Source organism: Homo sapiens, chromosome 12, assembly GCF_000001405.40.
Source record: "Homo sapiens chromosome 12, GRCh38.p14 Primary Assembly".
Lineage (NCBI taxonomy): Eukaryota > Metazoa > Chordata > Mammalia > Primates > Hominidae > Homo > Homo sapiens.
Window position 1 is genome coordinate 99,737,684 of NC_000012.12, and position 15,294 is coordinate 99,752,977.

The 15,294-nt window shown below is 35.6% G+C and overlaps 1 protein-coding gene across 20 annotated transcripts in view; it reads right to left on the minus strand.

Annotated features, from left to right (window-relative positions):
• The window catches only part of ANKS1B (ankyrin repeat and sterile alpha motif domain containing 1B), a 1,250,151-nt gene that overhangs the window by 1,002,898 nt on the left and 231,959 nt on the right, over positions 1–15,294 (minus strand). The window contains exon 1 of one of the 20 annotated variants that reach the window (XM_024449060.2): positions 6,722–6,740. The exons of the other annotated variants lie outside the window; for them this stretch is intronic. The gene's annotated coding sequence lies outside the window, so the exon portion shown is untranslated. Of the gene's footprint in view, positions 1–6,721; positions 6,741–15,294 lie in introns of those variants that run through there. 20 annotated transcript variants of the gene reach the window in all.

The following is a 15,294-nucleotide window of genomic DNA, read 5'->3' on the forward strand; positions in this document are numbered from 1 at the left end:
CCTTGAAATTTTTCCACCTTGTTCCCTTCAACATCACTTTTTCCTATTTCCCCCCTACCTGTATAATACCTTTCAGTTTCTTTCTCAAGTTCTTAGATCCTCGGGTCTTTGTTTTTTCTTCTCTTTTAGTTCTAGCAATTCAATTGCCCTGGGCAATCTTGTCCCTTCTGATCAACCTCATTGTGTCCAATTACCAACTATTCATCAATAGTTTATTAATTTTAATCTACAGCCTCCAACTTCTATCCTAAGCCATAGTCCCATAGACATTCTAGTATTGTCAATAATTACAGCTCATTTATTGAAAAACTGCTACATGCCAGCAATTGCATTAGATGTGTGCTAGAACACATATCTATTAAATAAACATGTTCTCATTTAATCATTACAGAATGCTGTAAAGCAGGCACAACTGTTCCTTCTTTGGGATGAACACAGACATGGAATTTATATAATGTTCCCAGTATCATATAGGTAGAAAGTACTGAAGCAGGAATTTAAGCTCAGATTGGCAAAAGACCATTTCACTAAGATATTCACTACTTTTTACCAAACTCCTTCAAATGCACATATTCTTCAGTACTTATTTTATTATTTCCAAACCCAAATCACTCCTCCATCTGTTATTCCCACATTCACTCATAGCATTACTATTACCAGGAACAATACAGAAGTCTTCCAAGTCACATTTAACTCCTCCATCTAACTTCTCCATATTTGTTGGGTCACTAAGCCACATTCTATGTCTGAAAAAGCTCTTGAATCTCCCTCTTTTTATTGTAGTATTTCAGTAGCTGTCTCACAGTTCTCCAGTTTCTGCCCCTGTAATTATCTTCCATTTCTTTGAGAGTTTGCTTTCTAAATAAATCTGACTGACTTCTAGATAAGATGACTGAATATGCACAATTCTCTTCTCTACTTCCTAATATTCCAATTAAAATGATCAGTGAAACCATTAAAAACTAGAGTAACCAGTACTACAAAGAATAACATTCTCACATCACAGAATTGAAGAACTTTTGTAAGTTTAGGCCAACAGAACTTTATTGAAGGAAGGATTGGCCCAAACCAAGACTCACTAGTTAAGAAGTAACTTGTCTGGAAAGTAAATAAAGAAAACCAACAGAATCCCACAAATATGCTCACATTTGGAGATGTGAGGCTGGAGGTGAAAGCAGACTGTGAAGCAAGTAGGTGATTCCATATTATATTGTGGCTTAGAGTTCAGGTGGACATTTGATACCAACTCACTGTGTCCTTTAAGCTGTAAGGGCATATACTAATACTAAGTACTCTGTGGAATATTAAGTCCTCTAGTGGAAGGCCATCTTCCACTAGACTTAGGCAAAGGTTAGGAATTACTTCCCTCACTCCATTCAGGGAGGGTATTCACATACACTATCATCTTTCTCCAAAATCTCTCCCCTAATCTCCCATCTCCTAACTTTCACAACCTCCATGTCTTTAAGGGATGCAAATGCTGTCTGACTAATTCTACCCTAACTTTATAAATTCTAAACCACTGTGGCCTTCAACCCCACTTTGAAGTATGGCATCTAGTATCTTGGGGCTTCAAAAGAAACTTCCATTTTAATATCCTTTTACATTAATACTCTGGATAATGTTTCTATCTGTGATTTGATGGGGAGGGTTTTTTTTGGGGGGGGCGGGGCCAAAAAAAAAGTACTCAAAGCTAAAAAAAAACTCCATCCAAGATCCTTTGTCTTTAAATACCATTTGAAGTTAGACTAGTGGATTCAAATCCTGACTCCAGGGACTAACTGTATAAGCTTTGGGAACAATCTAAGCATCTTAAGTTTCAGTTTTATAATCATATATGAATAATGACAGGCCTTCGTAGAATTTTGTAAAAATTAAATAACATGTTCTAAACAAAACTAAAAATATTTCTAGCGGCCCATAATGTCCCAGATGAAAACTGCCCCTTCCACGTCTCTTTGACCATGTCATCTCCATGTCATCTCTATGTCATCTCCGCCTCACTCATGCCAATCACTGTTCCACCTCAAGCGTTCTGCTGCCACTTCTTTTTTCTCCCCCTGGAATATTCATTCCTCAGATAGTTGATGGCTAACTGTTCCACCTGCTTCAGGTCTTTGCTCAAACACAACCTTCTCCATCCTTCTCTGAGCATTCCATGTAAGCCTAAGCCCCTTGTTTTACTTCTGCCCTTCCCTCTATCCCTTCCCTGCCTTGATTTGCTCCATAGCACTTATCATCTTTATCATACTACATATTTTCACATTTTTACTTTACCTTCTGTCTCCTCCCACTTAATGTGGGATCCACTAAGAACATTACCTGGCACATAAGAACTAGTCGGTAGCCAGGAACAGTGGCTCACACCTGCAATCCAGCACTTTTGGAGACAGAGGCAAGAGAATCACTTGAGCCCAAGTGTTCAAGACCAGCCTGGGTAACACAGTGAGACCCCATCTCTACGAAAAAAGAAATTAATTAGCTGGCCATGGTGGCACACACTTACAATTCCAGCTACTTGGGAAGCTGAGGGGGAGGATCACTTGAGCCCAGGAAGTTGAAACTAGAGTGATCCATGATCACACAACTGTACTCCAGCCTGGTTAACAGAGGGAGACCGTGTCTCAAAAACAAAAACAAAAACAAAAAACAAAAAACAAAAAAACTAGTCAATAAATACAGGCTACTGTTGTAATAATAAATATTATAATGCAGCACCTCTGTGAAATATTCCAGGAATCAGACCTGACTGCAGCATTGTTCCTGGCTTACACACAGCATGTCAGGCAAAAGTGTATGTCAGACAAGAAAAAGGATCTGCTCATATGAAAGCATAGGGTAAAATCACAAGGATCAATGAGGGTAAGTTAAATAGTATCCCATAACATCAAGTTAAATTAAAAATTAGGAGAAATGGGGCCAGCAAGATGGCCAAATAGGAACAGCTCCAGTCTGCAGCTCCCAGTGAGATCAATGCAGAAGGCGGGTGATTTCTGCATTTCCAACCCAGGTACCTGGCTTATCTCACTGGAAATGGTTAGACAGAGGGTGCAGCCCATGGAGGGCAAGCTGAAGCTGGGTGGGGCATCCCCTCACCCGGGAAGTGCAAGGGGTTGGGAAATTCCTTCCCCTAGCCAAGAGAAGCCGTGAGGGACTATGCCATGAGGAACAGTGCACTCCGGCCCAGATACTACACTTTTCCCACTGTTTTTACAACCCACAGACCAGGAGATTCCCTCTAGTGCCTATGCCACCAGGGCCCTGGGTTTCAAGCACAAAAGTAGGTGGCAATTTGGGCAGACACCTAACTAGGTCAGGAGATCGAGACCAATCTGGCAAAATGGTGAAATGCCATTTCTACTGAAAATACAAAAATTAGCTGGGTGTGGTGGCGCGTACATGTAATCCCAGCTACTCGGGAGGCTGAGGCAGGAGAATCACTTGAACCAGGCAGTCTGAGGTTGCAGTGAGCCAAGATCACACCACAGCACTCCAGCCTGGCAACAGAGCTAGGCTCCGTCAAACACACACACACACACACACACACACACACACACACACATCAGGAAACAACAGATGCTGGAGAGGATATGGAGAAATAGGAAAGCTTTACACTGTTGATGGGAGTTCGACCATTGTGGAAGACAGTGTGGCAATTCCTCAAGGATCTAGAACTAGAAATACCATTTGACCCAGCAATCCCATTACTGGGTATATACCCAAAGGATTATAAATCATGCTACTATAAAGACACATTCACATGTATGTTTACTGCAGCATTATTCACAATAGCAAAGACTTGGAACCAACCCAAATGCCCATCAATGATAGGCTGGATAAAGAAAATGTGGCACATATATACCATGGAATACTATGCGGCCATAAAAAAGGATGAGTTCATGTCCTTTGCAGCGACATGGATGAAGCTGGAAACCATCATTCTCAGCAAACTAACACAGGAACAGAAAACCAAACACCGCATGTTCTCACTCATAAGTGGAAGTTGAACAATGAGAACATATGGACACAGGGAGGGGAACATCACACACTGGGGCCTGTCGAGGTGGGGGGCAAGGGGAGGGATAGCATTAGGAGAAATACCTAATGTAGATGAGAGATTGATGGGTGCAGCAAACTACCATGACACAGGTATACCCATGTAACAAACCTGCACATTCTGCACGTTTCCCAGAACTTAAAGTATAATGAAAATAAATAAATAAATAAAGCTAAATTTAAAAAAAAGAATAAGATCATGTCCTTTGCAGGGATATGGATGGACCTAGAGGCCATTATCCTTAGCAAAGTAACACAGGAAGAGAAAACCAAATACCATATGTTCTCACTTATAAGTGGGAACTAAGTGATGAGAACACATGGACACATACAGCGGAACAATACACACTGGAGCCTATTGGAGGGTGGAAGGTGGTAGGAAGGAGAGGATCAGGAAAAAAAAAACTAATGGGTACTAAGCTTAATACCTCGGTGATAAAATAATATGTACAAACCCCCATGACATAAGTTTAGCTATGTAACAAACCTGCACATGTACCCCTGAACTTAAAAGAAAAAAAAAAACAGTGGAGGCAATTGCAAAGACAATAAATGATGTATTTGATTACATTAAAAATTGAAATATCAAAACATTCCCAGAAAAATTAAAAAGAAAGAAAACCAAAGCAGAGTATTCACACACAAAAAATATAATTTTTTAAAAAATCTAGATTTTATAATTTGACTTAAGAAACAACATAACAAAGACTGGTATGGAAGATGCAAAATTTTTAAATCTAAGTATGTCACTGTTTATTAAAGTAGTAAAAATAAGAGTAAGTGAAATATACATTAAAATGCACACTAGAATTTGGCTGGGTGCAGTGAATCACGCCTGTAATCCCAGCACTTTGGGAGGCCAAGGCAGGCAGATCATGAGGTCAGGAGTTCGAGACCAGCCTGACCAACACGGTGAAACCCCGTCTCTACTAAAAATACAAAAAAAAAATTAGCCAGGCGTGGTGGTGCACAACTGTAATCCCAGCTACTCAGGAGGCTGAGGCAGGAGAATCTCTTGAACCCGGGAGGCAGAGGTTGCAGTGAGCCAAGATCGCACCACTGCCATCCAGCCTGGGTGACAGAGGGAGACTCTGTCTCAAAAAAAAAAAAAAAAAAAATGCACACTAGAATTTAAGTTTTTATTCTCTGGTTGCTTTTATTTCAATTACTAATGTTAGAAGCTATTTTTTAGCAAATCCTCACAACTTTGTACTTTTCCAGGCAATGGCCATCAATATCTTCCTTTCTCTAAACTGGCCAAGAAATCTTGATAACAAATTATTTTGACCTCATGATATTATATCAGCTACCTCTAAGTGCTTTCTCTAGTTTATAGCCTAGCAGGCAGAAACTCTGCCTTAATTATTCACATAGTATCTGATTTAAGTAACCTATTATATGCATATACTTAATTATAATAAATTGTATCAGGGTCTCTCAACAAAATGAACTTCTATTATTGTAAGCCTACAGATATAGGGAAAGACTTTTGTCTCAAGCACGACAAAATCTAGAGGTTCACCTAAAATAGAGATTAAAGAAAAAGACCTTTCAGTTCCTATGGCTATTGTTTCATTAATTTTAGCATACATGTAATTTACCAATAATCTAATGTAGTCTATTTTTTAAATGATTTTTAAGTATAACTTTGTCTCCATTATGAATATATTTTTACAAGTTACTTCTAAAACTAAGTCTATTTCTAAAACCACATTTTGGAATGGCAAGTCATCTTTTCTCTCAGAATGAAATCTACAACATAACGTTAATCTTTTAAGGATAGAGAGGAAGAGAGGATTAATAAAGCAAATCTTATTCCAGTACAAATAGGAATCTGTATGTGGCTGGAGAGGTACCTTTATGCTGAATAATTTTCAAGTTATATGTAACTTTATTCTGCGGTTTTCTATTCCTGTGGGACTGTGAGAGCAGGTGAAATATTTGTCACCAACCATAAAAAATTATGAACTAAAGTAATAACACTACAATAACTAAGCTCGTCTCTAACAGATGTATTCTGTGGAAATTTCCCAAGACAACAGCCTTAGAAAATGGAGTAGTGTTAATTTCAACTAAAGTTCTCCATATTGAACTATGTCTTACAGGTCTAAAGTTCTGATGCATCTTTAAATAATGGGTTTTGAAAAAAGCTTCATACATCTTGATAACTTTCTCGGCTTTAATTGTGTTGATTCTAACAATCCTAATGAGAAAAATTAATGCCTAAAGCCAATGGTGATACCAGAAAGATATTAAAATACAGCTGGCACTCTTTATCCATGGGTTCCACGTCTGCAGACAAGAAGGGTCAACTAAGGAACTTGAGCATCCATGGATTTCAGTATCCTTTGGGTTCCTGCAACCAACCCCCTGCAGATACTGAAAGATGACTATATCTGGAACATACAGATTAAATGAGATATTGGGAATAACAAAAGAGGGAGAAATGAAGGGGAAAGGTTTCAAGTGAATTAATTCTTACTTAAAAAATTCATACTAATAGATTAATTTCTCCTTTTTGAGAGTCAATCACATGATAAGTCAATGTAATATTTTTCAATATACACTAAATAGTATAGAATTTGGTGAGGCACAAATTCCCTGAACTGGATCAACAGAAGTTTCTTATTTAAAGTACAAGACCATCATTAAAAGTTTCACTTACAACTGTAAACCCCAAGAAAGAACAGATGCTCTGAAGCATTCTTCACACTGTCCTTAAGTCCCTATGTCCACCTCTTCCTCTGCATTCAGATTAACTTCTGAAGGAAATCCTGAAATCAAGCAAATATAACACTACAGCTACAGGCATTCTTTTTTTACTCTGCTTAGTTCCTCTTTCTTCAGTACTAAAATTAAAGCTATACAACTGCCTTAGCAGCCTGAATAAATGTTCTATCTTTGAAGGATTAGAAACCTGCAAATGGAAAAGGCGTTACAAACAAAACAGTAACTTAAAAAGATACTTCAGGCCAGGTGCGGTGGCTCATGCCTGTAATCCCAGCACTTTGGGAGGCTGAGGCAGGCAGATCACCTGAGGTCAGAAGTTTGAGACTAGCCTGACTAACATGGTGAAACCCTGTCTCTATTAAAAATACAAAAATTAGCTGGGCGTGGTGGCACATGCCTGTAATCCCAGCTACTCAGGAGGCTGAGGCAGGAGAATTGCTTGAACCCGGGAGATGGAGGTTGCAGTGAGCCAAGATTGCGCCACTGCACTCCAGCCTAGGTGACAGAGTGAGACTCTGTCTCAAAAAAAAAAAAAAAAAAAAAAAAAATCAGTAGTATCTTTAGGAGCCCAAGAAGCCATCCTAACGAAAAAAACACAAATGCTTATTAAGGGGATCCTGATGAAAAGACTCAGGATGTTCAAAGTCTTAAATTTGTTTTAAAAACCTTCAAAGTATAAATAGCTATTCTAATATCTAATTCAATAAACAAAGAGAATAAGGAAACATAACATAACTGATCACTGTAATTGTGCATAAGTGCACATGCATAAAGAACCAATGATTAAAGACAGAAGTAACAGTGATGTTAAGAAACATTGATGTTGCAACATAACAAACTAATGAGAAGCATAAGAACAGTAAACATTGGGCAAATTTGTCTCAAGCTCATCTTCATCAGATTTCAGCTTACAGTATCCTATCTACTCGGAAGTCCTTAATAGTATATAAAAATATCTCTAAGCACTTCAAAAAACAACATTAAGAAGAGCAAAATATGGTGGTTTTATTCATGTGGCTTCTCATTTATTGAAAATTCAGGGTCTCCATGCTTGCAATTTGCAAACAACTACAAACAGCAGCCTCAATTTTCTATCTTATCACTTGGGAAAAAGCACTAAAATCATTTTTAATGGTTTATTTTGTAAGCACAAATTGTAAGCATCAGATTGTGAAAGTATCTTGATGCTATAAACAAACAGTAAAATTACAATTTACAATTTAATTAAGAAAACAAAAAATATAACCTGTCATTTTATTATTTTTAAAAATCTAATTGATTTAAATTAAATGCCATGTTTCATTTGTCATATAAGAAAATATAAATTCACCTTTCATATTAATAATTATACTTCAATTATATTTTATGATACAATATTTAACTACTGATCTAAAATATATATTTTCTTATTTTTAAAATACATTCCATAAATAAAAGACAATGATTTTCTAAATATTTAATGGTGTTCAAAAAAACAGAAAGAACCACATTAATAGGAGTTCATGAGCCATATACGGTTGGAAAAATATGCTCTTAGATAAGCCTGATTATTCCCACTCTACCAGTAATAACAAAAAGACTCAGTTATGTAAGTAATTTGTGTCCAAGTTTACATAACTGGTGAGCAGCAACACTAGGGTTTAAACCAGGGCCGTGTAACTCTCAGCTTATTCTATGAAATCATGATATCAATGAACAAATGAATGAATTTTATTTCCCCAAGGTTTCTGAATAAGAAGCTATTTCCACACACTGTTAGGTGGCTTCATTGTGCCATCAATAATAACACAGATACAATTAAGGAAATAATTCAGTGTAACAAATATTTTCTCTAGTCCCTATCCAAGTGTTTAGTACTCAAAAATGAAATGCTCATGTATTAGCAATCTGGCTATCAACCAATTCAAATTAAAATTCCATTTACCAATGTCATCAATTACTTCCTAATGTCAACTCTTTTGCAGTTTTCATTGCTTGTGGCCTCAGCAGTCAGTCATTTTCCCTCAAATATTCTCATTTAGTTCCTGTTATGTTACATTACCCTGAATTTTTTCTACCTCTTCATTCCCTTGCTTCTATACAATCATTGTAATGACATAAGTACAAATATTAACAAAAGTATATCAGTGCAACAAAAAATATGACAGAGTAAGTAACATTAACTAGGACAGAGAGAGGTATAAACTTCTAGATCCCAAAATTCTCACTAAGGGATGGATGGCTGTAAATGACTGTATTGGAAAGTCACATCAGTTCAGACCTCAGGAGGCAGTATTGTCCCATCTGGGCATAGTCTTACATACAGAAGCAATCCAGCCTGCATCTGAGACAGGTGTATTTTTTTCTAACTTCAAGTTGTATAACATGTAACATGACTGCAAGAGTACTATACATAACACATTCAAGCAGTTTTTTAAATCCTTAATCCTCACCCTCAGACTCTCTCTAGTCTGATAAAGCCTAGTCCCTATAAATTACTAAATTCAGTGTCATGGAACTGGAACTACAAATCCCTGGGAGTCATGCTATATAATCTATTCTAATTTCTTTCATATACCCCATATTCCCTATATTCTTCACACTCCCAAAAATGGGACCCTTCAAAGGCTCAGGTCTGAACCCCTTTCTCCTCCTTCAATATATCAAGCTTATACCTTTGTGTTTATAATTCCACAATCAAATCTCTTGCCCTAAAAGCTTTCCCAAGCTCCTTTTTCAAACCTCCCCCTGCTAGGCATCACCACCTTGGAATTTTGCAGTCACCTCAAGGTTAACATGTTTGAAACTAAACTTATCCTCTTTCTAACACAGCCAGTTTCCCTTCTTGTTTTCTGAGTTGCAGAAGAGAGTGATCCCTGGTTTCCTCTCTTCTCCCTCTCTCCTGCAACCTATAGCCACCAAGTCTTGTAAATTCAGCCTTCATAAGTTTCCTTCCTGACCACCCCAATCCTCATCTCAGCCCTTTTTCCCAGAGAAATGCAACTGTTTCCTAACTGATTTCTACACAAACTGTCTCTTCCTCTCCCTCTGCTCAAACTATATTTCACACTTCACTTCCTGTTAAAAAATCTTTAATGGATCCCCATTGCCTATAAAATATCTTTCATACTATTTATCCAATTATTTAAAATTCTTGTTGGATCCCTGTCTCTATAACCTCTTCTCTCTCTTCTCCTATACATCAGTCATCCAATCCAGTCAAATTGCTCCAAATAAAACATGCAGTCCCACTTACGTGATGTTGGTTGGAAATTTCTCACGCCTAGAATGCTCTCCTTTCTCTCCTACACTTAACTAAGCCCTACCTTTCAAAATTGGATTGCTATCTCAAATCTCTCTTATTAAACACATGTGAAAAATGAACCATTTTCTCATAATCCTTGCCAAAAAACAACATCTAAACTCCTAAAGAATCCATCCAAAAGAAACACATGAGTACACCTAAAATCTGAAAGTCAGGAGAAGAAGAATAATGTATGAATGCAAATTTCTTTTTCCTTCTATATTGAAGCACTTTTGGCCTCATGTGTTCACTTTCTATTCTTAAAGGTAGAGACTTAATTCTATTTTCTACAGCTCTTAAAGGCTGATAATGCAGTTATTATGATTGCGACTAGCTAGCTCATCTTGTTAGAGAAAGTATCATGGTACTGGGTTAAGTTTAAATATCCATATGGAATAGAAAACTTCATTTATTTGGGTGCCACAAATTGCAACCCTGACCCTTCCCAGAAGTCTATTAATATCTACCATGAACACCAAGATAATGTTTGTGGCCAGATGAAAGTAAAAACAGCCTAAAGTGAACACCCAACTGATTTTATTTCCTTAAAATGGATTTGAAATAGAATATTTTATTATTAGTTACTTTGAATATTATTGATATTTACAAAAACATACTTCAAGTAAATCTGCCTAAAATTGGCTTGAGAACTATCTGAAGAGATTTTTTTTTTTAGATTTTCAGAAAAATATTCCTCATGGAATATCTTTCCAATTTTGCAGCATAAAAAAATAGAAAACATTATTTTGTTTCTTATCAAACTAATTTTTCAATTTTCATTCATTTAACAAATAATACTGAGTATATACTTATGCCAGAATTTTTCTAGACACCAGTAATACAGCAATAAACTAAGTAGATAAAGCTGCTGCTCTCAAGTTTACATTCTAGTGGAAGGAGATAGAAAATAAACAAGCAAATATATAATACGTTGAATCGTGGTAAGTTCTCTGAAGAAAGATAAAACAGGGTAATGGAAATAGAGAACACTAAGAAGGAAAACAGAGAAGACTTTATTGACAAGGTGATATCTGGACAGATATTTTAAGGATTATAGCTATTCATAAAATATGGAATACCAGCATAGCCAAAATTCAGGTAATACTGTGATGTAGTAACCTAATGTTTCCTAGTTACATTACTTAAATATTCTGTCCTACTGAATTAACAAATCCTGGGAGTAAAATATTTGTAAAAGCCTAGGCTGCAACCACCCTCAATCATCTGATATAGACACTATAGTTTTCTAAGCTCCCTCCATCAGCAAAATATTCGTTACTCAAAGCTGATTTGTACTGACCCTGTGGGACACAAGCCCATTTCAAGGCTGCTGGCTATAGCTTGAAAAGAACCACTGAGATGTAACTGAACATTTCTGTTCAAGTAGGGCTGGCCCTACCCCTACCTCCTATAAGCTTTGACCTGGATACATAATCCGGGGCTAATTAATCAATACATCCATCTCTTTGACAACTGAGATTGGCTCAGCAGTCAAAATGTGATCAAACTTAGAAATCTTGCTTGAATTTGGGGAAAGAAGCGCTTTTGGCCAGGATTATTAAGCAAAGAACACAATGAACCTTGGGCTACTTATATCCCTTGCCACCATATGGGAAAAGCTGGCCTGAGAACAAAACCAGTGTAGAGGAAAATCCAGCTGACCAATGGGGAAAGGCAGATTCCAGATTACATTGTTTGAGTACTAGGATCCATAAAAGCCTAGATTTTTCATTTATATGCGCTAACACATTCCTTTTCTGCATAAATCAGTTTGAATTGGTTTTGAAGAGATACATGGAAAATCAGAAAATAAGATATGGCAGAAATTTTCTCTTCCCATTTTCAACACTGAACTGGTATATTCTAAATATGGATATATGGGTGTTACCTCTTTGATGGAAGTAAACAAGGTTTTATCACCGGACCTAAAGTCTGAACACAAGGCCATTTCAAAGGAATAAAATCTAATTTTCCTTAAGGGAGTCAATATAAACAAAAGAAGGTCCAGGGCTATATTGGTGACCATCAGAAGCTAGTGCTTCAGAAAGAGTGTCTCAGGGTTTAAAGATTCTGGCATATGAAAAATATTACTTTGAGGGAAAATCCAGTACACAAAATAAAAGGAATTCTAAAGCAAATCAAATGAAAGCAAATATAGTTCACTGTCAGAAAAGATAAAGAAAAAAACGAAAAATAGTACAACCAGATATATAGTTGTATAATCCAAGTTTTAGCTAGGATTCTTAAAAGTAATTGCTGACTTGTCCACCAGACAGTACAAATAATCAATAACATTCTATCTCACAGTTGAATTTTGTAATCACAAAAAGAACAAGATCTCAAATTCTCTCTCAAGCATATTAGAATTACTGATTTTATTTCTTTAAATATGTAAATTTGTGAGTGAGGCACTTATAATTTATAACTTTTTATGTGAGTGAATGCATCAAAAATTATGTGTAAGTGTTCAAGATAACCACTCTAAACAGAAGTAAAAGACCCGCTATATATATAATAAGCAAATGCTTAGAGGTCACTATAATATTCCTAGGAAAAAAGTAAAACTTGAAATTGCATTGCATAAAGGTCTAATTGTTGCTATATAAACATATTTCACAATTTTACCTAGGAAGATTTTAATTAATAAATTCATGTTTATACTACTACCTATAACTATAGGAAAAGCTTGTATAAATGAGAACTACAAAAATCAACATGTATATGGAGAAAAATTATTTAAATTATAAAAGATATTGTATAGCCAATTCTACTTAGCTTTTTAACAAACCTGTTTTCTCTACTTCTTGGGCACTTAGCTAAACCATATTTCCTAGTCTTGCAGTTTGGGACAGCCATGTGATTGTATGACTGAGTACTAGTCAGTGGAAGATAAGTGGAAATGATGTCTACTGTTTCCAGGCCCATCCCCTTTAACCTCCTACCTCACCTGTATCTTCCATCATCTTTACCCATACCACCTTTTGACAGATAAGCCAAGTGACCTTGAAAGGTTGTGCTCAAAAGGGCAGAGTCAATAGATGGGAGAAATCTGAACTCCCCCTTTGAGGAGAGCCACCTGCTGATCCAGAATACCTGTTTTAGACTTTAAATTGTTAAGAAATAAACTTCCATTATATTTGATTCATTATATAATTTTTATTTTTTAAAATAGCTAGTATTACCTTAACTAATATAGCTTATGATTATATCACTAATATGTGATCATTGATATTCATGATTCATTTTATTTTTCCACTAATTTTAAGTTTTTAATATCCCTAGAACTCAGTACAAATGCATTAACTTCAAATTATAAAATATTTTAATATTCATAAGTAGTCTACATCTTCAGTAAAACTATTTTTTGAAATTTATTTCTTTGCTTAATCCCAGATTCTAAACTTTCTTTAACATTTAATTAACATAATTAAACTTATTCATGGCTTTAGTAATCAATTAGATCTTTCTTTAAAAAGATTTAATTGGCCAAAAGATTTAATTGTAATTCTTTTTTGAAATCAGGATAATGTAACCTCTTATTAAAATAAACAAAAAATAAATAAAAATCAGTATGATACATCAGTTTTGCCATATTCCTATAAAGCATCTCGAAAGTAACAAAATGCTTCAAGAAAACTACCATAAAATAACATTAAAATATTTAAAAGAAGAATGGTCCCGCCAGCATAGCTCTTATTCAGTAAGAATGAATGTGCAGTCCTTCTGAAGAAACAGATGAAAACAAAAAAGAACTACCCCAGGCAAGACTGAACTAAAAATTTTTCTCAATTTCCAGTCAAACTGTGTTCACTTTTCTAACATCTACCCATCCACCCACCCATTCATTCTTCTTTTGTTCATTGATTCAAAAATTGCATATTGGTATTATGTGGCAGGCCCCATACCAGGATTCTGTGATATCACAAAGATGAAATATATAGATAATGCCCTCAAGGGGTTCACAGTCTAATATATTCAAGAACAAGAAACAATCAGAATTTATAACTACTTACTACAATTACAACCACCATAAGTACTATTACAGGACATTGGGACTCTATATTATAAAAGGCACTGGGAGAAAGCCTAATACAAATTGGAATGAAGGTTCAAAAATGAGCTAAGATTAGAAGTAATGTTTTGATGGAGGAGGAAAAGTAAAAATAATGAAATTGGTTTGGGGCAGAGGAGAGTGTGAGAACTCAGGTATAGTTATACATGCTGAAAGACTGGTGAAAGAGAGTTTGGTAAATTTATAGAATTATAAATAATGGGGAAAATGATGAGAGATGACAACACAGCCCTAAATAGGAGCAAGTTCATGACATGCCTTCATTTTCCCTATTCCATAATCAGATGATTGTTATTATCACACTTTTTCCTGTGCCTTTCACCTCATATTCAAACAGGACAGAATCACTTTTCATTTTCACTGATTAAAATATAGCTATTTCTTTTTTTAACACACTTTTATAAGAGAGCTACTATCTGTCAGGCAACATCCCAGACTCTCAGATATACTGTTCTTCCTAACTTTCTACAACACCTTATACTATCATTTACTGGACTGCTTGCTTGGTAATACACTTTACCACCCTGTATTTCAATTATTTGGTAATATATCTGTTTTACCTGCCAAACTCCAAGCTCCATAAAACATGGAAATGCCTCAGTCGTTTTTTTTGTCTGCCATAAAACAGTAGCTAGTACGTAATATAGGTATAACGAATGTTTACTGAGTGGATGAACTAAAGCAATGAAGAAAAATGGATTAGCTTTAAAATAAGAGACTATCATTTTAGTTTTCTCATTACGCAATAAGATTTTTTAAATATACAAAATATCATAATGTGTATTTTATGTTTATATTTTTATGTTTTGTAGGATATTGATACTATTTATTGGTAAGTAATAATATTTTATTATTGCAGTACCCCTTCACAATATACCCTTATATATACAACTTATAATTCTGATAGTTTCTGAAAACACATTACTATTGGAATGCTGCTAAAAATATGACTAGAATTCATTTTTTCATCCATATAAAAATGTTTATTGAGTAGTTACTATTTGTAGGACACTATGTGAATTGCTTAGCTTTTATATTTCATTGCCATTAAATACAATAATGTAAGAGGTAAAATATGTCAAATTAACTTCCCTTTGTACTTAGTCATAGTCATACCCTGAGGCAAAGGAACAATGTCATTCAACCTCCTTTC